The sequence below is a fragment of the Homo sapiens genome, chromosome 7, assembly GCF_000001405.40.
Source record: "Homo sapiens chromosome 7, GRCh38.p14 Primary Assembly".
Lineage (NCBI taxonomy): Eukaryota > Metazoa > Chordata > Mammalia > Primates > Hominidae > Homo > Homo sapiens.
The window spans coordinates 135,139,488-135,166,873 of record NC_000007.14 but is presented as its reverse complement, the minus strand read 5'-3'; the positions used below and the strand labels follow the sequence as shown (position 1 = coordinate 135,166,873).

Here is a 27,386-nt window from a genome sequence, read left to right as displayed (position 1 = left end):
AGAGCCGCAAACAGGAAAAGGCCTGCGAGCAGCCGGCCCTGGCGGGGGCTGATAACCCAGAGCACTCCCCTCCCTGCTCCGTGTCGCCTCACACAAGTTCTGGGAGCAGCAGTGAGGAAGAGGACAGTGGGAAACAGGCACTGGCTCCAGGCCTCAGCCCTTCCCAGAGGCCGGGGGGTTCCAGCTCTGCCTGTAGCAGGAGCCCTGAGGAGGAGGAGGAAGAGGATGTGCTGAAATACGTCCGGGAGATCTTTTTCAGCTAGGGCATAAACTGTGCACTGAACTGTCTGCCGAGAGCAGCTGGAGGACAGCTGAGCTTCCACTGGTGCTGCTGGGCCGCCCGCCTGTGGGAATGGGGCTCTCTGTGCTCCTACCTTTGTGCCTTCTTGGGCCTGGCAGATTCACCTCAGGCCAGAAGCCCCTGGACACTCCGGGCCTTGGGGCTGCCGTTCTGAGTGTGCGGAAGGCAGGACTCAAAATGAGATCCCATTTGACTCCCTCTGTATGTACTGTGCCCTCTCCTGGCTCTTGAGGCTCTGGAGTCCCAATTGTCTGTGTTAGTCAGTGACCAGGTTCCAGGGAAAATGATGTCATGTGGTGGTCCAACTTACTGGAACCAAAGAGACAGTACTTTGCAAAGAAAAGGATCACTGCCAGGTGCACTGGAATTGCTACAGTTTAGTCCGCATGATCTCTCCTGAAGGAGGAAGCCTGTTTCAAAAATAGTTTCCATCATGAGTCTATCAATGAGCTCCCACCTCTCCAGCCAGCCTAGAAAGCAAACGAGCTGCCCACAGTTCTCTGCCCTGTCTGGGAGGTTGAGGCCACAGTGTATAGACTGGTAAGCCAGACAGGCCTCCTCCCGCAAGCTGCTACCTTGCTTTCACCTGTACCTTGGTCCCCGGGCAGCTAGCTATAAAGCAAGAGGGACAGGAGCCCAGAAGAGACACTGAGGACAAGAGATCACACCAGAGTACATGTCTCTGCCTCTGTTTTCAGTGTGGCTTTGGACAGGAATATATGAATAAATCACTGCCATACAGGTTTTCCAATACACAAGTGCTAGAAAATACACACAATTCCCCAATGCGTAAGTTGTGCTAATGTCTTTCCAAGTTCTGGGTTGGGAAGTGGAGGGTGGCAGCGTTTGTTTGTGTGCAGCCGTCCAGTCCTGTTCACAGCGAGGATTTGGAGTCCTCCAGGGTCTCATCATGGGAGTGATTTGTCAGCGGACGCCTCTGCCCTGTCTGGCTTCAGGTCCAGGGAAGCTTTGAAGCAGTCAAGCCTTGTCTTTGTACCCCATGTGTCCTGTCTTTGTTGAGTCACTCAGAGATCACTCCTGGACCTCTGGGGTTGGAGTTCCAGTGATGGCTTATGGCGGCCCACTCACTATGGTGGGCTGAGTGGAAGCTCCTTAACCATGTCCCCAGAGACACTGAGGTGCTCGCTCTTTTAATGTCCTCGTTTGTTGCCGTAAGTTCTTTGCTAGGTTTCATTTTGGCATTTGGCAAATCAGCCTGGAAGTCTGGCCCCATGACAGCAATCACTCCCTCCCCACCCTCCTGAAGCTAGAGGAAGATTTGCTCAGATCCATTAATTAAAGCAGGAATTGGTGTGACAATGAGCTGCATGGTTTAGGGAGTCTTTGGGAGCCTTGGAAGTCCTGAAGGACAGACAATCTTGTACTAAGAAGTCACAGGTGCCCTGGCTGCCCTTGCTGCCCCTCGGCCTCTTTGACACAGGGGCCCCACCTCCTCTGTAGTGGGTTCCATCGCTGGAGCTGGAGATCAGCGTTAGCTGTAAAATGAGATGGCTGAGCAGATGTGCCACCTCTGACCATGGTTGGAACTGAACCCTTGCAATCACGTAAGCCTTTAGCAGCTCTCAAGCTTGCTCTCAGCCCTCTCAGCCCTCAGAGGGAACACAGCCATGGCTATAAGCAAGAGGATGAGTAAGGCCTGGGCGCTGCCCAGAGCTAGAAACCCAGGCCCCGGGAGGGAGAGCCTGACCCACTTCCACACATAGGAGAGGAAGAGGCCCAGGCCGCCTGCCAGCAGCACAGAGGACACAGCCAGGAAGCCCACTGCCAGCCGCCACGCTCTCTCATCACTGTTGCACTGGGCTAGGAGGAGAGGCTGGGGGGCAAAGAGGGTGAGGACCAGGGACCCGTACACGCCAAGCCTGGCCAGGCCCAGGCCAACCCGAGGCACCCCCAGGGCTTCCAGCTCAGGGAACTGGTGACACTGTAGGGTGCTGGTGTCCTCATTCCACAGGCAGAAGTTATAGAAGCCGATTCTCAGGTTGGGCAGGTCAGTGAGGTTGCCAGCCTCCCAGAGAAGAGCGTAAAACATCAGGCAGATGACCACAATCACGAGGACTATGATGCTCATGAACAGCAGCTGGTCGCGCCACCGAGGCCTTGGGCCGGCCATCTCTACTGCCCTCTGCCGGGGGACCTGCGGGGAAGTCACAGCAGTCAGTCCATCTCTCCCTTGCTTGTTCCCTGTGTCCAGACAAGCTCATGTTCTCCCTTTGGCATTTCTTACAAACTCATGGCAAGTTTCCCTCCTACCCTGCCCTCCACCAAGGACCAGAAGTCTGAGGTAACCTCCTGCCAGGACCTATTTGCAAATAAGTCATTAGCTGCCCTCTGATTTGAGGTCAGGAGGAAAAGTCTCTCCCAAGCAGCTTTGAAAGTGTGAAACATCTTAAACTGAGTGAAGTGCTCTTTAGCCAAAGGCTTTGCTCCAGTCCAAATACAACAAGCCATTGGAAACATTAGTGAGGGGATTTCTCAGATCTTTTTTGAAGGTGGGTTTTGACTGAGGTGAAGGGCAAGGCCCACCCTTAATGGAGACCTGAAGGTGGAGGAAGCTATTGGTTTTCACCACAGCTGCCAAGACAACCACCTGGGGAGCTGTAAGAACTACCCATTGCTGGGCCACAGATCAATCAGAGCTCAACTTATGTGCTTCGGGCTGGGCACTGGTGTGTTTCTGAAGCTCTGAAGCTCATTCGAAGGTGAGCCTGGGTCAAGGACCACTGACACACCCACTCTGATTTTACCTGCAGTGCTCTGGGAACTCATTACTGGGTCAAGACAAGATGTCACCTGGTGATGAAATCCCATCATATACTCATTACTTTAAAAACTAATACATATTTTTTCCTGACAATGGTAGTATGAATTATAGAAAACTTAGACGTTTTTGTTTGTTTGTTTGTTTTTGAGATGGAGCCTCACTCTGTCACCCAGGCTGGAGTGCAGTGGTGCGATCTTGGCTCACTGCAATCTCTGCCTCCCGGGGTCAAGCAAGTCTCCTGCCTCAGCCTCCCGAGTAGCTGGGACTACAGGCACCCGCCACCATGCCTGGCTAATTTTTGTATTTTTGGTAGAGATGGGTTTCACCATGTTGGCCAGGCTGGTCTTGATTGAACTCCTGACCTCAAATGATCCACCCACCTTGGCCTCCCAAAGTGCTGGGATTACAGGCATGAGCCACCATGCCTGGCCAGAAGATATTTTAAAAATAATAATAAAAAAGATAACCTTTTATCCCATCATACACATAAAACCACTGTTAATATTCTACCAATATTTTCTTCCTGTACTGATGTATTTTTACATAATCATGATGTTGAATGTAATGTTTTTTCACTAGATTTAGTAAACATTTTTCAAAGCTGTTAAATATTCTTCAAAAACATGATCAATGGCTGTGCAATAGTTCATGTGGGATCATCCATTACACTATTACTAGACAAATTGTTTCCACTTTTCACCATTATAAGTGAAGACGCTGTGTGAATCGTGTTTGGAATCTGATTTTTCTCAGGTGATCTACCTATAAGTGCAATCATTGGATCAAGGGTAGAAATATCTTTTAGTGATCTTGCTAAATACTGCCTAACTGGCCTACAGAAAATTTGCTAATCATAGTCCCTCTAATTGTATATAAAAGTGCCCACTTTGTTATACTCTTTTAAAAAATTCTTTTCACTCCGTTTTAAATCAGAAGGGCTTTGTCCAGTTGGTCTCTGAAACAGTGGTCTGCACACTGTATTTTACATATGTGTATTTTCCAGTATGGGATAAGTTTCGGCTGATATGGTTTGGCTGTGTCCCTACCCAAATCTCATCTTGAATTATAGCTCCCATAATCCCCACATTGTGGGAGGGACCCAGTGGGAGGTAATTGGATCATGGGGGTGGGTTTCCCCCATACTGTACTCATGGTAGTGAGTCTCATGATATCTGATGGTTTTATAAAGGGCATTTCCCCTGCACATGTTCTCTTGCCTGCTGCCATGTAAGATGTGCTTTTGCTCTTCCTTTGCCTTTCACCATGATTGTGAGGCCTCCCTAACCATGTGGAACTATGAGTCCATTAAACCTCTTTTTCTTTTCAAATTACTGGGTATCTCTTCATAGCAGTATGAAAATGGACTAATACAACAGCATTCACCAGGAAGTGACTAGGAACACAGAGCTTCAAGCTTTGTGAGGCACAAGGTACTGGGGCCATGATACCAAATGGCCTCCTGGAAGCCCCAGCAGGGAGTCCCAGGTGGTGTTCAGCAGCAAAATGAGTCGTGGCCCTGGGAAGGGACCTGAAGGCTACACAGCCCTGATGATCAGTTTCTGAGGGGACCCCTCTGGGGGAACAGCTCCCTCCTCTTTCCCAGAGCTGACTGGAAGGTCTGTCTCATTCTACACACTGCATTTGTTACAGAAAGGGACCAAGTGGGGAAAATAAAGAACATGGAACAGGCTGAGAGAGAGGGCAGCTCCATTCAAAGGACCTAGGTGTATGCCAAAAATGAGAATGAAGATTGACCAGCGACTTCTTTGGCAGAGACCTGGGCAGGCTGGCTGATGGAGAGCTGGGGCCTGTGAATACAGTAAGGGTGGGGTCCACACTGCCACCGCCTCCCCTCAGATGCCGCTTCTCTGGACTCAGCAGCACTGGGCAGTCTGCCCAGTTCTGCCCGTGGCTTCTGCTCCAGAGAAGCCCAGTGGGGACAGTCAGAGTGGAGGAGTGAGGGGCTGTCCCAGCAGAAGCCCTGGCTGCTGCCTTGGGTGGCACTGTCAAAGGCTCTGGAGGTCCCAGAGGGCCAAGGGTCTGAAGACTCGGGTTTGAATGTAGTTGAGAGATTCTTGGAGCAATGATGCTTGTTACGGAAGGAATTATTGGGAATTGAAAAGGTGGCATTAGTCTGGGATGATAAGGAGTTTTAACCATTTGAGTCCATGGTATGGGAAAAATTGCCGACGGGAACATATTTTGTATGGTTTTGCTTATTTAGTAAATGTTTGTAAAAGCCTATATCTGTGCTTTTAATGGGTTTGGGTATTTTAGGGTGTGGAATAGATTTCCAGGACTTCCCTGATTTATACCATCATGCTGTGGAAAAGAAGGTTTGACCTCCTCCATTGTTCAGGACCAACTGGGAAGGGACTTGGGGATGCCTTTGTTTAAACACTCCCTCTCACTTTTCCCATTTGAATTCTGTTACACTGGGGTTCCAAAAAAAATTATTAAACGTTTTGCTTTGAAAACAGCTGCCTTTTTAAAAATTAATGTGGCTCCTCGGGGAGATTGCATCAGCCACCTTGCGGCAGCTCCTGCCAGACGCCAGGAGCCTTTGTTTTGACTTCCTCATTTTCTCTCAACTGACCTTTTAATGTAGAGCAAAACAAAACGAGCCAAGAAGCCCAGGACCAGGCATGTGGAGAAGGTGGTGGCCTCTCACCTTTTTATATTCAGTCCCAGCTCTTATGAGGCTCGCCATCATCTGGTGCGACTTGGAACTTGAACTTGGAATTCTCTGGTGAGGCCCAGCTTCCCCTCTTGCCTTGTGCAGTCCAGCACCTGCTCAGCTGCTCAGGCTGTGTATGAATACATTCCCATCTGCCCATCCTCAGCCACCCCCCAGCTCCTAGAGTCCTACTCTACTTTCTGCTTCTCTAAATCTGATCCATGCAGCAAGAGCATTCCTGGGCTCCTTCAGCCCACACTCTGGTTTAGCTATAAATTAGGATTTATTCTCCACTCTAGTGTCATGTCTCTGAGGAACAGTCTTCAGTTTTGTTATTTTGATACACAGTAGGGGCTCTTTTTTTTGTTTTTTTTTTTTAAATGAGCGAATGAAAATGCTACATAGGCTCCCTGAGTTCTTTCATGTACGAATCCTGGTTACACATCTTAGGACAGCAGAGCTGCCTGAGGGAGGGTTGTGTTTAATGTCGTATGCATGCTCAGCACAGTGCTGGCATGGCCCATCCATGCTTTCTGTTGAACTATGGACAGAATTCAGGAACTTGTGTATGGAGAGGGTGGAAGTCAGTCCTCGCTTCTTTCCCTAAACATTTTGCAGTGACAGCATATGGATCTTTGGTTGGAAACCCCATGACACTCTTCTCTACTTCCCCATGGGCCTTCCCTGGTTTTTGTTTTTCTTTTCTTAAACAATCCTGGTAATGACACTTCCACCACAATGAGCTTTTAAATGTCCTTTAATGATAAGCCAGTGTTTCCTTCAGAGGGCAAAGGGGAGACTGCTGAGTCACTGTGGCCATTTTTAGATAAACCTTTTCCTGTTTATAATAACACATGCTGATTGTAGGAAACTAGAAAATACATGAAAGTGCAGAGAAAAGACTAAAAGTCATCTATACTTCAGGTCGTAGAAATAACCACTCTGAACAGCACACTTCTTTTTACACTATTGTTTTACACTGTTGGGATTACATAAATATATATGTTTGTATCCCACTTTGTGAACATCATTCTATGTGAACTAGAAATGGTTCCTAAACATTAAGGGCTGCATATAGCTGTATCATAGTTTATAGTTTATACATAGATGCTTTGTAACATTATTTTATAATGCTATGAATGCTATGGTGAATATTTTTGTGAATCAACTTATGTTTCCACCAGCAGTTTCAGAGAGTGCCTGTCTCATCCCATCCTCCCCAGTATTGCATATTCTTGAGTCTTTTATTCTTTGATAATGACAAATGATGAATCATTGATAGTTTTTCTTCATAATAAGTAAAGTTTAACATTTTCAAGTGTTTGTTGACCATCTGTATTTCTTCTTTTGTGAAGTGCTGTCAGTTCTTTTGCTATTTTAAAAATAATTTTGAGTTTCAGTTTTTGTTTGTTGGTCTGTATGAACCCTTTAAAAATAAAGGCTGTTAGCCTTTTGCCATCTTAGTTGTGACAGTAAAGTATAATGCTTTGCTGCACTAGGTCCTCTGGAACAAGATGCAGATTTAGATTCCAGGTCAGCATGTAACTTGACCACTGTCACTCAAGAGTTACAGCCTGAGCAGGGCCTTAGGAGGGAGATGATTTCTGCTTAAAGGCGATACAAATTCCTAGTTAGGGAAATAGAAGGAAAGTATTCTCAGGAGATTAATTTAAGGCAGCTTTTTTGTTGGTTTAAGCACCTCTAACATTTTCATACTAATAAGGGAGAATGGGATGGCGGCTGAAAGAGACACAAATATTGTATCATTTAATTCTAAATTATGTATTTGTCAGGTTCTTATTGAAAGAGTAAATTTTCGAAAGGATCAAGATGGCTATCTAAACACAGGTAGTATGTGCCTCCACCATGGTGAGAAACCAGAATAGTAAGTGGATCCATTTTGAACAGATTGTCTAGGAGAGAATGCTAGGATAAACCAGAAAAGATATGGGAAACATGAGAAGTAAGGAGAGGATTCGAGGCAGCTTGCCCAGCTGGGAACCGACTGAGAGTCGGGAGAGGCTCCTGATGTGGGGAAACAGTAAGAGAGAACCCCCTAGGGCTCCAAAACAAACTTTTATAATCTTGGCCACGGAAGGAAACCTCGACCCACTGGGCCAGGGCCTGGGCCTGACATTCGGAGCTGCCTAAACATTGCACAGAGGCATTGCTCCAGAAAGGAAACCAATACAAAATCTCACATGCATCTGAACCTGGAGCAGCCTCAGCAGGGTGCCATTTTGAGAGCCTAGATACTGGGACTCTACAGACATGGCTCTTGCTGCCGAGCTGCTTCAAGGAGGGAGACGGGAGAGCAGGTGCTCCCATGCACCCCTGGGAGGGTCTGCTGCCCTGCTGTGGGCTGCTATTGAGACAGATGTGAGTAGACACCCCTCCCCACAGCTTCTTTTCCACACTGCTTGTCTGGGAGGGACACTCTCTGATCCCAGGCCCAAGGTAGCATTTTGAGAGTTTAATGCTGGGCTGCATTCCCCTCCCAGCCTGAGTTTGGGCTGATGAGGCTGTAGCTGCCTCTTGGCTAAGGAAGGATAGGGAAATCAGGCCATCCTACACATATCTAGGACAAGACCCCCTGCCCTGCCATGGGCTGCTGTGAGACCGAGATGTGGCCATCCTGTGTGTTCCACAGCTTGTTGCCAATGCTGCTTACTTGTGAGGTGCTCCTCCCTCTCTGGTCTCAGGCTCCAGGTGCTATTTTGAGAGTTTAATGTTGGGCAGCACCCCTCCCTGGAACTGAGATTGGGCTGGTGCAGCTGTAGCTGCCACCCAGCCAAGGATTAACAGGGAAATCAGGCTGTCCTATGCACATCTAGGTCAATACCCACTGCTCTGCAACATGCTGCTGTTGAGACTGAAATGTGAGCAGACTGCCTTCCCTACAGCTTCTTGCCCATGCTGCCTGCCTGGAGGGACCCCTGCCCTCCTGGTCACAGGCCCAAGGTGCCATTTTGAGAGTTTAATGCTGGGCTGTGCCCCACCTTCTTGCTGAGTTCAACTTGATGTGGCTGAAGCTGCTGCCCAGTCAAGGAGAAACAAGGAATCTATGCTCTCCCGCACATACCTAGGACAATACCCAGTGCCTGCTACGGGTTGCTGTGAGACCGAGACTCAAGTAGACCACCCTCCCTACAGCTTCTTGACCATGCTGCTCACCTGATAGGGGCCCCACCTTCTCTGTTCACAAGCCCACAGCTGGCACCATTTTGAGAGTTTAATGCTGATTCATAACCAGTCTGAATTAACAATCAGGCAATGTGGCTGCAGCTGCCACCCTGGTAGGAAAGGGACAGGGAAGACCAAGCTCTCCTAAGCACACTTAGAACAGTGCCCACCACCCTGCTACAGGTGGCTGTGAGACTGGGGAGTAGCTCACCCAACCCATCACAGCTTCCAGCAACACCAACATGGACTGCTTGGATCCCAGTTGGCTGCTTCAACAGTGCTACTGCCATCACTCACATGACACCACCTGCTCAGGGGCTAGAGATCATGCCCACACACTGGGCTCACCACTCCCACTACTAGCTTCTAAGCAAGCCATGTGGAGGCCCAAGAATCAGCCCTCCAAGACCCACTAACCACCAGAGCAGCGTAAGCTGCTGTGGGGCCTAAAAAGGGCACACTTACCCCACTGTTGCCACCACTGGGGTCCAAAGGCTGCTCAGTTGGCATCCAAGTCCCAGCTAAACTTCTGGGGACTTAGTCTCAGCTAATTACCATACTCTATCCCACTGAGGAAATCACAGAGAACACTGACCCTATGCCGAAGAAGTCATAGAAAGATCACACGACTGCAGGCATCCAAAATCAAAGTCAAAGCATCTTAACAACATGCATATATCCTCAGGAAAAAATTCTCCCTTATAAAAGCAATTTCAAAAAATTGGAACAAGCAACTGCTACACCAGACGCAAAGAAATCAATGGAAGGATACAGGAAACATGTAAAAGCAGAGAAACATGACACCATTGTATTAGTCCATTTTCACACTGCTGATAAAGACATACCTGAGACTGGGAAGAAAAAGAGGTTTAATTGGACTTACAGTTCCACATGGCTAGGGAGGCCTCAGAATCCTGGCAGGAGGTGAAACACACTTCTTATATGGTGGTGGCAAGAGAAAATGAGGAGGAAGCAAAAGCAGAAACCCTGATGAACCCATCGGTTCTCATGAGACTTATTCACTATCACGAGAATAGCATGGGAAAGACCAGCCCCCATGATTCAGTTACCTCCCCTGGCGTCCCCTCTCACAACATGTGGGAATTATGGGAGCTACAATTCAAGTTGAGATTTGGGTGGGGACACAGTCAAACCGTAACAATCATCAAAGAACCACAACAGCTGTCCAGCAGCAGCAGATCCCAATCAAAGAGAATTCTTCAAAATGCTAGATAAAGAATTCAAAATATTGATTTTAAAGAAGCTCAATGAAGTGCAAGAGAAATCTGAAAACTAATACAAAGAAATCAGAAAATTAATCCAGGATATAAATGAGAAATTTATCAAGGAGATAGACATCTTAAATAAAAACAAGCAGAAATTCTGGAACTAAAAAATTCATTGAAGGAAATACACCATATGCTCAAAAACTTCAACAGTAGACTACACCAAGCAGAAGAAAGAATCTCAGAACTCGAAGACAGGACTTTTGAAATAATCCAGTCAGACAAAAATGAGGAAAAAAGGATAAAAAAGAATGAATAAAGCCTTTGAGATGTCTGGGACTGCAAGAAGCAACTGAACTTATGAATTATTGGTATTTCTGAGGGGGAAGAGAGATTAGAAAGTTTAGAAAACATATTTAAAGAAATAGACATCCAGATACAGGAGGCCCAGTGATCCCCAGGAAAATACATTGCAAAAGGACCTCACCATGGCATATTCAAAATGTCTGAAGTCAAGTGAAAGAAAGAATTTTAAAATTAGCAAAAGTGACTAGTCACCTATAAAGGAAATCCCAAATCTCATCAGACCAATTGAGGACTTTTCAGCAGAATTCTTACATGCCAGAAAACAATGGGATGGCATTTTCAAAGTGCTAAAGGGAAAAAAAAAAACAGTGTGTCTGTCAGCCAAGAATTTTGTATCCTGCCAGAATAAGCTTTATAAAAGGAGAAATAAAGTCCTTCCCATACAAGCAAATGCTGAGGGAATTTGTCACCACTAGACTGGTACTACAGGAAATGCTCAAAAGGATCTTAAACACTGAAATGAATGGTGTTTTTAATTAATTATTTTTGATAGAGGGTCTTGCTTTGTCACTCAACCTGGAATACAGTAGTGCAATCACAGTTCATTGCAGCCTTGACCTCGTGGGCTCAAGCAATCTTCCTGCCTCAGCCTTTTGAGTAGCTAGAAATACAGACATGTGCCACCATGCCCGGTTAATTTTTAATTTTTTTGTAGAGACAAGATCTTGCTATTTTGCCCCGGTTGGTCTTGACCACCTTCCATCAATTAATGCCCCTGCCTGGCATCAATTAATCCCCCTGCCTAGCATCCCAAAGCACTGGGATTAAAGGCATGAGCCACGATGCCCAGCCAAAAGGTTGATATTCACCATCACAAAAACATACAGAAGTATAAAACTCATAGTTTGTATAAAACAATCATACAAAGGAAGAGAAAGGAATCAAATGGCAACATGACAGAGTTTCATCAAAACACAAAGTCAAAAAGGCAAAGACAAAGAGTCTATAAAACAACCTGAAAACAATAAACAATATAACAGAAACAAAGTCTCACAGATCCATATTAACCTTGAATGTAAATGGATTAAATGCTCCACTTAAAAGATACAGATTGGCAGAGTGGATGAAAAAACATGATCCATGCTGCTTACAAGAAACTAACCTTACCCATAAAGACATATAGACTGAAAACAAAGGGGTGGAAAAAGATATTCCATGTAATTATAAACCAAAAGCAAGCAGGCATAGCTATACTTATATCTGATAAAACAGATGACTTTAAATTAAAAATAGTAAGAAAAAAGATAAGGTCATTGTATAATGATGTAGGGATAAATTCAGCAAGACGATATAATAGTCCTAAATATATATGTACCCAACATTGAAGCACCCAGATTAACAAAACAAATATCACTAAAGAAAGAGGTAGACAGCAATACAATAACTGTAGGGGACTTTTAACACTCCACTCACAACACTAGACAGATCATTGGGACAGAAAATTAACAAAGAAACATTGTACTTAAATTGAACTTTAGACCAAATGGACTTATAAAACATTCTACCCAACAACTACAGAATATACATTATTTTTGTCAGCACATGGAACATTCTCCAAGATAGATCACATGTAAGGCCACAAAAGAAGTTTTAACAAACTTTTTAAAAATTGAAATTATATCAAGTATCTTCTCAGACCACAGTGGAATAAAACTAGAAATCAATACCAAGAGGAACTTTGGAAACTATACAGATAATGGAAATTAAACAGCATGCTCCTGAACAACTACTGGGTCAATGAAGAAATTAAGACAAATTAAAAACATCTTTGAAATGAATGCAAAAACACATTGTACTAAATCCTGCAGGTTACAGCAAAAGAAGTGCTAAGAGGGAAGTTTATAGCATTAAATGCCTACATCAAAAAAGTAGAAAGATCACAAATTAACAACCTAACATTGCACCTCAAGGAATTAGAAAAGGAACAAACCAAATCCAAAGTTAGCAGAAAAGAAAAAATAAAGATCAGAGCAGAACTAAATGAAACAGGGACAAAAAATTTACAAAGGATCAATGAAACTAAAAGTTCATATATTAGTTCTTGGGATCAATGAAAGTAAAAGCTGATTATTTGAAAAGATAGACAAAATTGATAAACCACTAGCTAGATTAACCAAGAAGAAAGAAGATCCAAATAAACACAATCAGAAATGAAAAAGACATTACAACTGATACCATAGAAATGCAAAAGATCATCAAGGACTATTATGAACAACTGCATGCTCACAAACTAGAAAAACTAGAGGAAATAGATACATCCCTGGAAACACAAAATCCCCCAAGATTGAACCAGGAAGAAATAGAACTTCTAAACAGACCAATAATGAGTAGTGAGATTGAATCAATAATAAAAAACTCCCAAGAAAGCTTAAGACTAGATGTATTCACAGCCAAATTCTACCAAACATACAAAGAAAAACTAATACCAATAATCCTGAAACTATTAAAAAATCAAGGAGAAAGGAATTCTCCCTAACTGATTCTCCGAGGCCAGGGTCACCCTGATACTAAAAACCAGACAAGGACACAGCAGAAAATGAAAACACAGACCAATATCCCTGTGAACGTAGATGCAAAAATCCTCAACAAAATACTAGTAAATCAAATCCAATGGCACATCAAAAAGATAATACACTATGATCAGATGGGATTTATTGCAGGGATGCAAGGATGGTTCAACATATGCAAATCAATAAATATGATACCCCAGGTTGCTGGATTGCGTGGTTTTTCAGTTCTTTGAGAAATCTCCATACTGTTTTCCCTAAAAGTTGTATTAATTTACATTCCCACCAACAATGTATAAGCATTCCCTTTTCTCCACATCCTTGACGACATCTGCTGTTTTTAGAGTTTTTAGACTTTTTTTTTTTTTTTTTTTTGTGGAGATGGAGTCTTGCTGTGTTGCCCAGGCTGGAGTGCAGTGGCATGATCTCAGCTCACTGCAACCTCTGCCTCCCAGGTTCAAGCAATTCTTCTGCCTCAGCCTCCCGAGTAGCTAGGACTACAGGTGCGTGACACCATGCCCAGCTAATTTTTGTATTTTTAGTAGAGACAGGGTTTCACCATGTTGGCCAGGATGGTCTCGATCTCCTGATCTCGTGATCTGCCCACCTTGGCCTCTGAAGGTGCTGAGATTACAGGCATGAGCCACCATGCCCTGCCTAGACTTTTTAATAATGGTCATTCTGACTGGTGTAAGATAGTATCTCATTGTGGTTTTAATTTGCATTTATCTGGTGATTAGTGATGTTGAGCATTTTTCATATGTTTCTTGGCCACTTGTATGTCTTCCTTTGGAAAATGTCTGTTTATGTCCTTTACCCACTTTTTAATGGGATTGTTTTTTCTTGTTGAGTTGTTTGTGTTCTTGTAGATTCTGGATATTAGTCCTTGGTCAGATGCATAGTTTGGCAGCCCCTTCCCCATCGGGCACCACCAGCAGCAGTTGCTATCATGGCCTTGAGGACTGCCGCATGGAACTTACATGTTTTAATTTTGCTGCTGTTAAACATTACACACTTTGCAAATTTTGCGGAGTAGAATATTAAAAGAAAAAACAGGTAAGCCATTAGGTTCCTAGGGCCTTTCTTTTAATTAATGATTTCAGAAAGCCAAAGGGGACCAGGGAGGGAAGAACTTGCTTTGATGAGACTCTTTGATCAGTGGAAGGTGTCTGAGAAGGAATCTAACTTTAGTGAGAACTTATTAATAATTAAAAACAGACCTCAAAATCTCTTGAGAATTTACTATATGCCAGGCCCTGTGCTAAGCACTTAACAGGTATTGTCTTATTAATTTCTTACAACCATGTAGGGTAGAGTTACTGTTTTCATCTTCATTTTCCAGAGAAGAAGACAGGCCTAGTAAGGGTCAGTAACTTGCCCAAGTTCACACAGCCAGTGAATGATGGAGCCTGTCAGGCTGCATTGTTAATCACCATGAGGATCTACCTCTAACTGGGGGCCTGGCCCTTTACGTGCATTAACTCATTTAATCTTCACAACACCCTTGTGTGGATGTTATTATCACTGTTCCCATTTGACGTAGTGAAGACAGTGTGGAATACTGGTTCTGAGCATGGACCTTGAAGCTATGGCTTCTGGGTTCAAGACTCTGCTCTTCCATTCACCAGCTGTGTGACCTTAGTTACTTAACATCCTTCTGCCTAGATTTTTCATCTGTAAAATGGCTTTAATTATATAACTTATTTTGTAGATGTTATGGAAATTAAATGAAGTAATTTGTGCATGGCATTTAGAACATGACCTGGTAAGTATTATTTAAATTATTACTACGATAGAGAGAAAACTGAGGCTCAGAGAAGTTAAGCCCAGGCTACCAGCCTGACAGTGGTGAGATTCTAGGAAGACAAATAGTGCCAGGGTTCATTCCCAGAGATGAACTCTAGGAAGCTGGTCTCATTTATGTTTGGTTGTGATGACTCCAGGATGCAGCTGCCTGTTGAGAGGTAGCACAGTGTGGTGGTAAGGAGCATGGGTTTTAGAGCCAGATGACCTGGGAGCATGTCGTCGTTCTGTCACTCACTAGTCATATGACCTTGGGCAAGTTACATAGCCAGCCTGAGCCTCACATCCTCATCTGTAATGCATCAGTTGTCACGTTCCTCATGGGCTGTTGTGAGACTGAAGGAAGTTCACTCACATATAGAGGGCTTGGGGCCTGACACAAACTGGGTCAATGTGTCTGCTCTGGTCATGATGCTGAAGCAATAGCTCAGTGGGAGAAACGGGAATTGACGGAGAGTCAGGTAGACATGGTTGGGTGTGTCGCCTGAATGGAGAGAGGAGAACTGGGAAGAAAATGTTAGCAGAATAAAGCCGGGGCAACAGAGCTTGCCAGGGCATAGAACAAGGGCGCAGGTTTACTTGTCAGAGGCCACCAGTCCTGGCTAAAATATTTCTGGTGGAACACATTGAAGATCAGTGTGCTCATGGTTTAGGTGTGGCTGTCACAAAAATAAAAAGGGAAGAAGAAAGGGAAATGTGTCATATTTCCTTTGGTAGAAACATGAGTCCAGGTTCTAATTCTTTTCAAAACAGGGCTACTGCAGTGTTTTTCAACAGTGTGTAGGTGGTGGCAGCTCCTGGATTTCACCAGTGTTTTCTGTGGACAGCCATCCCAACCACCAAGTTTTTAATGAATGCTGTGATGTTTTGATTTACTTAATTATTCCATGTAAATAAAACAGCTTTATCAGACAAAATAGGACTATACCATGAGATTATAACATAAAGTCAGAAGCATGAGTCCAGGCACCCAGATGACAAGCCATTGAGATAGCTGTTTAAATGGTTCCATTAATATTAACTTGCTATTTGTGCAATTGTTTTGTTGACTATTAGCTCTCACTAGCAGATAATCCAAGTGGGAACAAAGATTACAAAAAGTTTAGAGGGAGAAGAAAATCCTTAAAAATGAGAAAATGTCTACAAATGAGCCATCTTAATTTGTTTGTTTGTTTGAGACAGTCTTGCTCTGTCACCCAGGGTGGAATGCAGTGGCACCATCTTGGCTCACTGCAATCTCTGCCTCCCGGGTTCAAGAAATTCACCTGCCTCAGCCTCCTGCCACCACGTCCAGCTAATCTCATTTGGTTTCTGTTGGCAGGACTCCACGGTCCAGTTTGTGGGCGGCCAAGATTCACAAGATTCAGAGTTTGAGAATCAGTAGTACCAGAAACTGGTGACTGCCTTTGGCTGTCAATGGTTAGTTTTCCCGCACCAGCCCTCTCTTCCGCAATTACAAAGGCAATTTGCCACCCACTTCGACTCGTGGGGTCAGCATTTCATCTTGTAACTCTGTTAGTGACACATTTTGGATGACTCCCTGAATCAGAGGCCCTGGGGAATCAGTGCCACACAGGACAAACCAGGTGCCTGCTCTCATTGAGCTTGTACTCTAGTTGGGAAGGCAAACACCAAATGTATTTTTTAAAAGGTAATTATAATTTTTGAAAAGGTTTGGGAAAGAAATAAACAGGGTGAGTGAGAGAGAGAAACTGGCAGGAGGAAGTGATGACTAGATTATAGGGTCAGGGAAAGCCTCTCTTCAGAAGAGATATTTGTTTTGAGTCCTGAAAGGGTTCTTCATTAACTAATACTGAAGCAATTGATCAGCTAACTAGAAAAGAGAAACAAAACTATTTTAGGTCCTCATCTCACTCCACATACCCAAATAAATTTCACATGGATCCAAGAGTGAAAGGTAAAACCAGATAAAAAAATCAATGATCTGGAAAAAAGGATATATTTGATTTATGAGTGAAAAATAAAATTTGGAACTTAAGAGCAAATGGAAACTACAAATAAAGAATTGCACAGGTTTAACTATTCTAAAATAAAGATTTCTATTCACCAAAAACAACATAAATATAATTAAAAGTCAATGAGCATGGAAAATATCTACCACAACTATGAAATGATTAATGTACTTAATGTTTAAAATGTTTACGCAAACTGTCAAAAAACATTACACCTCATTAAAAATGGACAAATATGAAGAGATAATTCACAAAGAATGCAAAGTAGTTAACTAACATGAAAAAAAATTCTGTAACTTTTCTAATGTAATTAAAGATACGCCAAGTAAAAAACCAGAGTTTCCCTATCAACACTGTAGGTAAAAACACTTGATGATACCAAAAATATGGTTAAACTGGCATTCTCACACAATGATGGTGGATGTGAACATTTGTACAAACTTTCAGGGAGGCAGATTGGCAATAAACATTAAAAACCCTAAAAATAGTCATATCTCTTTGGCCCACTTTTATAAATCTATCCTAAGACAGCAATCAGAAATCCAGTCAATAATTTATACATAGGAATGTTCAGCACAGCATTACTTTTGGCACAAAATGGGAAGCAGCTTGAAAGTCCAATATCAGAAGTAAACTATGATGTATCAAGGATAAAATACTATGCATCTTTTAGAAAAAGCAGGTATAAAATCACTCTACATAGTGTGACTACATCCATATAAAGAGGCATAGGAGAAAGAGACTAAAGAAGTATTTGAAAATGTTAATGTTAGCTGTGGTAGCTCTGGGTGGTGACATTACAGGCAATTGTTCTCTATTTGCAGTAAAATATTTTTAGAATTATGTGCTACATTTATGAAAAAAAAAGAAATTTATAAAACAGGCATTCAAAACAGCCTTAGTAATTAGATAAAGCAGGGACTAAGCTGGAAAGAAAGTTGAGAAAGGGGAATATGTGCAAGATTGAAAAAATATCTCATGGACTGAGTCTCAGACCTGAGATTTTGGGGAATGGGGTATGGTAAGTGGATACTGAAAAATGCTCTTCAGTTATCATGAGGGAAGAAGGAAATATGTGTCTTTTCCCTCTTTCAAAGGAGCCTTTGATTTTATAGGCGAAGAAGCATAGTGGAAGTTATTAGTGAAACTAAGCCCACATTAAAAAAAATCTCTTAAAATATGCATCAAGAGAACTAAAATACCACCATGGATTTCCACTGGGGCATGAGGAGCAATCTGGTCTAATGACTAACATAAGATCTAAACATCTCTTAGGTCCCATTCTTTGAGGCAAGAACACAAGTTTTTCTGTTGATATTAATCTTCAGTGTGTATTTTAAAGTTTTATGATGTGTTCGTAACTACCATTGAATAGTGGTTTAGTTAGTGTTGGTCGGTGACCTGCTTTTGTTTACCTATTTCTGATGAACAGTGTATTGCACAAGCCACAGCCATGTCCTTGTACACACTGCGTGCAAGACTCTGCTGTGTGCAGTCAGCCCTGCATCGTTTCTAACCAGTTATACTGGCCTTACTTTCATCATCTTTGAGGCCAGAGCTACACATGTTGATGCCGAAGAGTGGAAGGAAGGAGAGCAGAGAGTAAAGGGGGTAGATTATGTAGATTATACAGACATGAGCGAGGGAGGGTCACAGATACTGAACAACCAGTGAGTTCCCCTATGTGGATTGCCAGAACATGAAATATCTGAGAAGAAAACAAAATTGTCTTACAAGGTAGTAGACGTCTGGGTAAGCTGTGATGCTTGCAGGATCGGTACTTACAGAAAGGAGGTGCAGAGACCACAGGAACACTCATGAAAAGGAGAAGCAGGAAATCAGGGTTGGTTGTTTGAATCTTCCTTCTCGCTGGCTTTCTAATGTCAGACTCCAGAAAGGAGGAGTGGAAGGGAAATGGCAGGCAGATGCAGTCCTGAGCTGGTGCCCCCTTGCCTTCGCAGTCGTGCCTAGTAAACAGCTCTCTGAACTTTGGTACATTTGTTCTGACTGATGTCACTATCAGCTGATTTCACTTTCGTTTCCTAACTTGCCAGTGGCCCATGACTTTTCAGAAATGAGGTATGTAAACAACTTTTTATTGTCCATTATGACATACTCTTTACCTACACTGTAGCCGGCAAACCAACTGATTTAAAGAGCCAGGTAAATGTCTTGATTATATCACACAATAATTCCAGAAAGGGAAGGAGCCAAAGAACTCTCGAAGCTCCCAGTGATTTAAACTGCAAGATAAACACAACCCGGAATTTTATTCAGAAGAAACCCATCAGGATCATCTGGTCCAAGCTCCCAGCCAGTGTGGCAGTCAGGACCCAGGTCACCTCCTACTCATTTCCTTGGGAAGCAGCTATGCCGTCTGTCCCCCAACCCCTTTTAGAGATCAATTTTGTAATGATGACTGGGCTTCTCTGGACACAAAACTTTGTGTCCTGAGCATTCTCACTGCAGTGTTTAGGCCCATGTTGGAGCAGCTGGAACATCTATTTTATTTCAAAATAAGAGCCGAACAAAGCTTTTATTTTTGTAAGCATTGGGGCTCCTGGCCAGAGTTTAAAAATTGCTTCCGTTGCTCACATGACCAACTGGAAATTTCAACTGTGGGTTAAACTTGGTTACATGAGACTGCTACCTAGTGCTATTGCTGAATCCTTCAGCGGTTCTCTTCTGCTTCCTTGCCCTTCCTCCAAAGGAGGAGTTATTTGAACTGCTACATTGCCCTCCCCCTGCCCCTAGTTCTTTTAAACGCAAACTCTAGAAAGAGGTGATGGGATCCAGGAGGAAGGAAGAACAGAGGCTTTGAGATCAGAGAGTTCTGCTACATACTAGCAAATTATTTAATCTCTTTGAGCATCAATTTCTTATCTGTAAAATGGAAACAGTACCTACTTTGCATGGTTGCTCTGGGGACTGGAGATAATATAAGTGCTTAGTACAATACTGGGACCATAGTAATGGTAGCTATTATTATGAAAAGTGGAATTTCTGTATATTTAGTCTAGCATCCATATTAATGCCTTTAAGACAGAAAATTAACTTTTAGATACTAATATACAGTAGTTACTCTGAAAACTCAATACTGGTGAGTGAAGTGATATAGAAGAGATAGAAACATATTTATATTTATGAAATTTATTCAAGGTTATCATGTACCTAGTTTTCAAAGAGTCAGTTTTTCAAAACTTACGAAAATCGGCAGTCCCACACTCTCCCTTTCTTCCTCTTCAGAGGCAAGCACTTTCACCTGTGCTCATTCTTTAGGCATTTACCTCAGTTCTCTAAATAACATGCTTGGATTGGTACTTCTTGATTTTTCAGTTTCAGGCATAATCTACTGACTCCCAACCATAAAAGGTGAAGATTTAGCTTTCTTCTTCCCCACTGCATGTTCCAGAAGTATGCTTCCTCTCTTCCTCCTCTATCCAAATTGGTTATAGTTTTGTTTAAATCAATATTCAGTGTTTACAATATTGGAATATGCACAGGTATACTTTATTTTATTGTGCATCTCTCTTTGTGGATCCTGCATCTTTTACAAATTGAGGATTTGTGGCATTTTTGCATCGAGCAAGTCTATTGGCACCATTTTTTCAATAGCCTTTGCTCACTTCATGTCTCTGTGTCACATTTTGGTAACTTTTGCAACATTTCAAGCTTTTTCATTATTATTATGTTGGTTATGGTGATCTTTGATGTTACTATTGTGATTGTTTTGGGGTGCCATGAACCGCACCCATATGACGGTGAACTTAATTGATAATTCAGTTCTGACCGCTCCACCAACTCTGTGTTGGTGTTCTGACCGTGTGTTCTGACCACTCCACCAACTGGACGTTCCTCCATTTCTCTCTCACGTTAGGTCTCCCTATTCCTGAGACACAATAATACTGAAATTAGGCCAATTAATGTCCCTACAATGGCCTGTAAGTGTTTAAGTGAAAGGAAGTGTCACATGTCTTTCATTTAAAATTGGAAACTAGAAATGATTAAGCTTAGTGAGGAAGGCATTGTGAAAGCAAAGATAAGCCAAATGTTAGGCCTTATGTTGTGAAGGCAAAGGTTCAGATGATTGTTAGCATTATTTAGCAACAAAGTATTTCTAAATTAAGGTATGTCCGTTAGGTTTTTTTAGACATAACAGTATCACACACTAAATAGGCTACCTTATAGTATAAACATGACTTTTATATGCACTGGGAAACCAGAAATTCGTGTGATTTGCTTTACTGTAATACTTGCTTTATTGCAGTGGTCAGGAACAGAACCTGCAACATATCTCCGAGGTGTGCCTGTAAATACCATTTACAGCAGCTGAGCCATGTAGAAAATTAAGATTACTTTTCCTATCCTGCATAACTTTTGATCTTCTCTGAAGATAATTGCTTTTTTTAAAAAGTTTGTTTGCTTGCTTGGTTTTCTATTGCTTAACACTAATCCAACCCTCAAATCTTTATCAAATCTTCTATGAATAAATTTCTATGCATCAAGTATTCTATATCTTCCTGAGAAAGGCTTTTCAGACCCTTCCAACCTGCCCCAGTCTGGGGCTTGACACCACACACAGCTGTTGTCCTGGCTTCTCACATCACCACCATGCTGGGGATTCCCTTTACTTCTGTCCTAGGTTGGATCTCCTGCTTCCTGCATCAAAGGCATTTCTCTTTCTCCATTTATTCAGTTCTGGGAGAGTAAATCTCCAGTAACTTCCTGAGAAATGGGTACACTGAAGAGAATTTTTTGAGAACTTACAAAACTGAAAATATCTTCATTCTAACTTGATCTATTCAAATGTGATCAAATTTAGACTGAATATAAAATTTTAGGTTAAAAATAATTTTCATTTATAATTTTGAAGGCTTTGTCCCATTATGTCTGGCTTTCTTGTTTTGTTGAGAAGTTTAAATTTGTTCTGCTTCCTGGCTTCCAAAATGGTCTCCTCTTGTCATCCTTTCAGCTTTATGCCTTAAAAAATAAATTATTTTGGTGGTTTTGAGAGGGAGCAAAATTGAATGTGTATCCAGTTTGCCATTTTTAACTGGAGGTCTAAAATATTTCTTTGTTCCTCTTCTTTTTTTTTTTTTTTTTTTTTTTTTTTTTTTACTCTTTTGAGACAGGGTCTCTCTGTCACCTAGGCTGGAGTGCAGTGGCACGATCACAGCTTATTGCAGCCTTGACCTCTTGTGCTCAGGTGATCCTCCCACCTCAGCCTCCTAAGTAGCTAGGACTACAGGTGCGTGCCACTATGCCTGGCTAATTTTTATATTATTATTATTATTAATTTTTTGGTACAGATAGGGTTTTGCCATGTTGCCCAGGCTGGTCTAACACTCCTGGGCTCAAGGGATTCACCTGCCTTGGCCTCCCAGAATGCTGGGATTACAGGCATGAGCCACTGTGCCTGGCCTCTTTCTTATTCTTTATCTTCCCTTTTTCTTTTTTTTGTTTTTACTCCAAGAGGGTTATTTCTTACTGTCTCTTTCACTGGTTCTCTGGCAACCTAGCTGGCCTATGGTTGAGCTTGTTGCTTTTATCAAGCTACTCATTTCCTCTTAATTGCTTACTGTCAAAATCTCCATTGTTTTTGGCAGTACTCTTAACCTTGAACTTCCCCACACTCTGTTCCAAACAAGTCAGTTTACTTGAGGACAGCTTCAGAGCTCTCTGTTCTTAAGGCATGCCTCTCCTCTGGGCAACATATCTGAGCCACTGCTCTGGACCTGGGGTTGGTGACAGTGGCTTGCATCTTCTAGAGTGACCCATCTACTTTTTGAGCATGGTCCTGAGTGGCGTAGTAGCCTCTGGTCTTTTCAACTTCAGCTTGACTCTCCTGGCATGGAAACTCCACACTATGAAGTAGCTGGAGAAAAGGTGACCAGGAATCCAGTATTCCCAGCCCACTGAACCTTTGCCTTATGGTTGAGTGGAGGAAGGGAGTCCCTGACCTCTTGGCCTCATTAGCCTCAAATGTTGTTTCTGCTTCACAGCGGTAGGGAGATGAGAAACGCTGGCAGCCTTCTCCTCCTAGGGGAGATACCATAGCCCTTGACTGGGAGCTGGAGTGACTGTGATCCCAGTGTTCTTGGCCATATCCTCCCACAGTGGAGTTTCCCTTCTGCTGAACATGGGGGAAGGGAAGGAGTGGGCCATGGCTAAGTACCAGAGACCCTCACTTTTCTTACAGGAATTTAGTAAATTTTCTGAATAAATATGTCTTTATTTGATGTATGTCCTTAGGACAATTTTCCTAATGGTTTTTAAAACTTTAAATGGGTTTTTCTAAAAAATATTTCTACCAGGTTCCCCTCCCTGCCCACCACTGGGGAGTGGGTGAGAAGCTTCTCAGGGTGCTGTTTTAGAGCTGGATCTCTGCCCATTTTTTTTTTAAATTCAATATTAAACACTTCATTTCTTAGATTGGTTTTAGGTTCACAGGAAAATTGAGAGGAAGGTACAGAGATATCTCATGTAATTCCTACACATACCCTCAGCCGTCTAGTTTTTTTTCCTGTGTTATCTTCCAGATTTATAGTATTGCATTTTACATTTAGGTCTGTGATCCATTTTCAGTTAATTTTTGTGAAGGCAATAAGGTCTGCATCTGGATTTGTTTGTTTGTTTTTGCAGTATGTGGATGTCCAGTTGTTCCAGCACCATTTGTTGAAAGGACTATCTTTGTTTCATTGTATTGCCTTTGCTCCTTTGTTAAAGATGAGTTGACTATATTTATGTGGATCTTTTTCTTGTCTCTCTATTCTGTTCATTGATCTGTCTGTTATTTTGCCAATAACATACTGTATTGATTATTGTACCTCTATAGTAAGTCCGTTTTTAGAATTTTCTTTTTATTTATTTTTGTAGAAACAGGGTCTTGCTATGTTGCCCAGGCTGGTTTTAAGTTCCTGGCTTCAAGTGAACATCCCACCTTGGCCTCCCAAAGTGCTGGGATTACAGGCATGAGCCACCGCACTCAGTCTATAGTAAGTCTTAAAGGCATGTAGTGTCAGTCTTCTGACTTTGTTCTTCTTCAATACTGTGTTGGCTATTCTGGGTCTTTTGCCTCTCCATATGAACTTTAGAAACAGTTTGTTGATATCTACAAAATAACTGGCTGGGATTTTAATTGGGATCTATAGATCAAGTTGGAAAGAACTGACATCTTGACAATATTGAGTTTTCCTGTCTATGAACACAGACTGTCTTTCCATTTATTTAGTTATTCTTTAGTAGTTTTTTTTTCATCAGAGTTTTATAGTTTTCCTCATATAGCTCTTGACACATACTTAAGTATTTCGTTTTTATTTTTTGGTGCTAATGTCAATGGTAATGTGTTTTTAATTTCAAACTCCAATTGTTCATTGCTGGCATATAAGGAGGCAATTGACTTTTGTATATTAACCTAGTGTCTTGCAGTCTTGCTATTATCACTTATTACTCCCAGTTTTTGTTGTTGTTATTGATTTCCTTGCATTTTCTACAAAGACAGTCATGATATCTGTGAACAAATACAGTTGACCCTTGAGCTACACAGGAATTAGAGGCACCAACCCCCTCATACAGAAGAAAACTGATGTATAACTTTTGCAACCCCAACACTTAATAGCCTATTGTTGATCAGAAGCCTTACTGAAAACAAACAGCTGATAACACATATTTTGTATATGTATTACGTACTGTATTACAATAAAGTAACTAAAGAAACTATTAAGAAAATCATAAGGAAGGGCAAATATATGGAAAGAAATGTATCTCCCATGTACTTGATGTATTTATTGATACCATTAAGTTTACATTATCTGTTTATGAAATAAATTGTCTGAAATAGTGGGCAAATGCAGCTGCAGATCTCAATCTATGGTGCATATCAAGCAATTCAACTTTTTCTTTTACTGTCATGACACATTACAGTATTAGACATATCACTGAGGCAGAAAACTAACAAAGATATTCTGGAACTAAACTTGACACTTGACCAAATGGACCTAACAGACATCTACAGAACACCCCACCCAACAACAACAGAATATACATTCTTCTCATTTGCATATGGCACATACTCTAAGATCAACCGCATGCTTGGCCATAAAGCAATTCTCAGAAATTAAAGAAAAAATGAAATCATACCAACCACTCTTTCAGAATAAAGCACAATAAAAGTAGAAATCAACACCAAGATTTCTCTAAACCATACAATTACATAGAAATTAAACAATTTGCTCCTGAATTACTTATGGGTAAACAATGAAATTAAGGCAGAAATCAAGAAATTCTTTGAAACTAATGAAAACAAATATACAACATATGAGAATGTCTGGGACACAGCTAAAGCAGGATTGAGGGTAAAGTTTGTAGCACTAAATGCCAACATCCAAAAGAAAGATCTCACATTTACAATCTAACACCACACCTAGAAGAACTAGAAAAACAGGAGTGAACCGACCCCAAAGCTAGAAGAAGAAAATAAATAAGCACAATCAGAGCTGAACTGAATGAAACTGAGACACAAAAAAACATACGAAAGATCAACAAAACCAAAAGTTGGTTTTTTGAAAGAATAAATAGAATTGATAGACCACTAGCTAGACTAATGAAGAAACAGAGAAGATCCAAATAAACACAATCAGAAATAACAAAGGGGACATTACCACTGACCCCACAAAAGTATAAGAAACCCTCAGAGACAATTATGAATGACTGTATGCATACAAACTAGAAAACCTAGAAGAAATGGATAAATTCCTAGAAACATACCACCTCCCAAGATTGAACCAGGAAGAAATTGAAATCCTGAACATACTATAACAAGTTCTGAAATTGAATCAGTAATAAAAACCTACCAACCAGAAAAGGCCCTGGACCATACAGATTCATGGCTGAATTCTACCAGACATACAAAGAAAAACAGGTAGCAAACCTACTGAAACTATCCCAAAAAATCAAGGAGTGGGGACTCCTCTCTAACTCAGTCTATAAGGTCAGCATCAGCCTGATACCAAAACCTGGCAGAGGCACAATGAAAAAAAGAAAACTTCAGGTCAATATCCTTGATGAACATAGAGGAAAAAATCCTCAACAAAATACTAGCAAACCGAATCCGGCAGCACATCAAAAAGCTAATCCACCATGTTCAAGGTGGATGGAAGGTTGGTTCAACATATGCAAATCAATAAATGTGATTCATCACATAAACAGAACTATAAACAATCTTTCCTGCATCTATTGATCATCTTAATAGATGCAGAAAAGGCTTTTGATAAAATTCAGCATCCCTTCATGTTAAAAACTCTCAACAAACTAGGGATCAAGGCAACATACCTCAAAATAATAAGAGCCACCTATGATAAACCTACAGCCAACAGCATACTAAATGGGCAAAAGCTGGAAGCATTCCCTTTGAAAATGGGCACAAAACAAGGATGTCCACTTGCACCACTGCTACTCAACATAGTATTGGGAGTCCTAGCCAGAGCAACTAGGCAAGAGAAAGAAATAAAAGGCGTCCAAATAAAAAGAGATGAAGTCAAACTATCTCTCTGCAGATTATATGACTCTATACCTAGAAAACCCCATAGTCTCTGCCCAAAGGCTCCTAGATCTGCTAAGCAACTTCAGCAAAGTTTCAGGATACAAAATCAATGTACAAAAATCAATAGCATTCTTATACACCAATAATGTCCAAGCTGAGAACCAAATCAGGAATGCAATCCCATTCATAATAACCACAAGTAGATAAAAATACCTACGAATACAACTAACCAGGGACGTGAAAGATGTCTACAATGAGAATTACAAAGCACTGCTGAAAAAAATAAGAAATGACACAAATAAATGGAAAAACATTCCATGCTCATGGATAGGAAGAATCGATATTGTTAAAATGGACTTACTGCCCAAAACAATGTACAGATTCAATGTATTCTTTATCAAACTACAATATTTTTTACAGAATTAGAAAAAAAAAACTATTCTAAAATTCATGTGGATCCAAAAAAGAGCCTGAATTGCCAAAGCAATCCTAAGCAAAAAGAACAAAGCTGGAAGCATCACACTGCTTGACTTCAAACTATACTACAAGGCTATGTAACCAAAACAACATGGTACTGGTACAAAAACAGACTAATGAAACAGGTTAAAGAACCCATATATAATGTTGTACCCTACAACCATCTGATCTTTGACAAAGTCAACAATAACAAGCAATGGGGAAAGAGCACCCTATTCAATAAATGGTGCTGGAATAACTGGCTAGTCATATGCAGAAAATTGAAATTGGACCCCTTCCTTTCACCATATACAAAAATCAACTCAAGATGGATTAAAGACTTAAATGTAAAACCTAAAACTATAAAAAGCATAGAAGAAAACCTGGAAAATACCATTTTGGACATAGGCCCTGGCAAATATTTCACGTTAAAGACTACAAAAGCAATTGCAACAAAAACAAAAATTACAAGTGGGACCTAATTAAACTAAAGAGCTTCTGCACAGCAGAAGAAACTTTGAGCACAGTAAACAGCCTATAGAAGGGGAGAAAATATTTGTAAACTATGCAT

At 41.7% G+C, this 27,386-nt stretch overlaps 2 protein-coding genes across 17 annotated transcripts in view, besides 5 other annotated features; one reads left to right on the top strand and one right to left on the bottom strand.

Annotated features, from left to right (window-relative positions):
- Positions 1 to 27,386, top strand: part of CYREN (cell cycle regulator of NHEJ) — an 80,167-nt gene that overhangs the window by 5,596 nt on the left and 47,185 nt on the right. For 14 of the 16 annotated variants that reach the window (XM_017012591.3, XM_047420824.1, NM_001243754.2 and 11 more), the window contains one exon: positions 3 to 1,089. The exons of the other annotated variants lie outside the window; for them this stretch is intronic. In XM_017012591.3, coding sequence (XP_016868080.1) covers positions 3 to 263 — 261 coding nt within the window. In that variant the 3' untranslated portion in view covers positions 264 to 1,089. Of the gene's footprint in view, positions 1 to 2; positions 1,090 to 27,386 lie in introns of those variants that run through there. 16 annotated transcript variants of the gene reach the window in all.
- On the bottom strand, positions 659 to 18,802 carry TMEM140 (transmembrane protein 140). The gene is made up of 2 exons (NM_018295.5): positions 18,604 to 18,802; positions 659 to 2,456 (listed from the first exon to the last, which is right to left on the bottom strand). Exon 2 carries the CDS (start codon positions 2,430 to 2,432, stop codon positions 1,875 to 1,877), a length of 558 nt encoding a protein of 185 aa, NP_060765.4. The 5' UTR covers positions 2,433 to 2,456; positions 18,604 to 18,802; the 3' UTR covers positions 659 to 1,874.
- Positions 5,559 to 5,608: an enhancer, noted in NCBI's record as "active region_26706". NCBI's record gives its function as "activates an Ori minimal core promoter by ATAC-STARR-seq in GM12878 lymphoblastoid cells {active_cell/tissue: GM12878}" and the evidence as "EXISTENCE:reporter gene assay evidence [ECO:0000049][PMID:35858748]".
- Positions 5,689 to 5,778: an enhancer, noted in NCBI's record as "active region_26705". NCBI's record gives its function as "activates an Ori minimal core promoter by ATAC-STARR-seq in GM12878 lymphoblastoid cells {active_cell/tissue: GM12878}" and the evidence as "EXISTENCE:reporter gene assay evidence [ECO:0000049][PMID:35858748]".
- Positions 15,111 to 15,260: an enhancer, noted in NCBI's record as "active region_26704". NCBI's record gives its function as "activates an Ori minimal core promoter by ATAC-STARR-seq in GM12878 lymphoblastoid cells {active_cell/tissue: GM12878}" and the evidence as "EXISTENCE:reporter gene assay evidence [ECO:0000049][PMID:35858748]".
- Positions 15,281 to 15,490: an enhancer, noted in NCBI's record as "active region_26703". NCBI's record gives its function as "activates an Ori minimal core promoter by ATAC-STARR-seq in GM12878 lymphoblastoid cells {active_cell/tissue: GM12878}" and the evidence as "EXISTENCE:reporter gene assay evidence [ECO:0000049][PMID:35858748]".
- Positions 18,524 to 19,023: an enhancer, noted in NCBI's record as "active region_26702". NCBI's record gives its function as "activates an Ori minimal core promoter by ATAC-STARR-seq in GM12878 lymphoblastoid cells {active_cell/tissue: GM12878}" and the evidence as "EXISTENCE:reporter gene assay evidence [ECO:0000049][PMID:35858748]".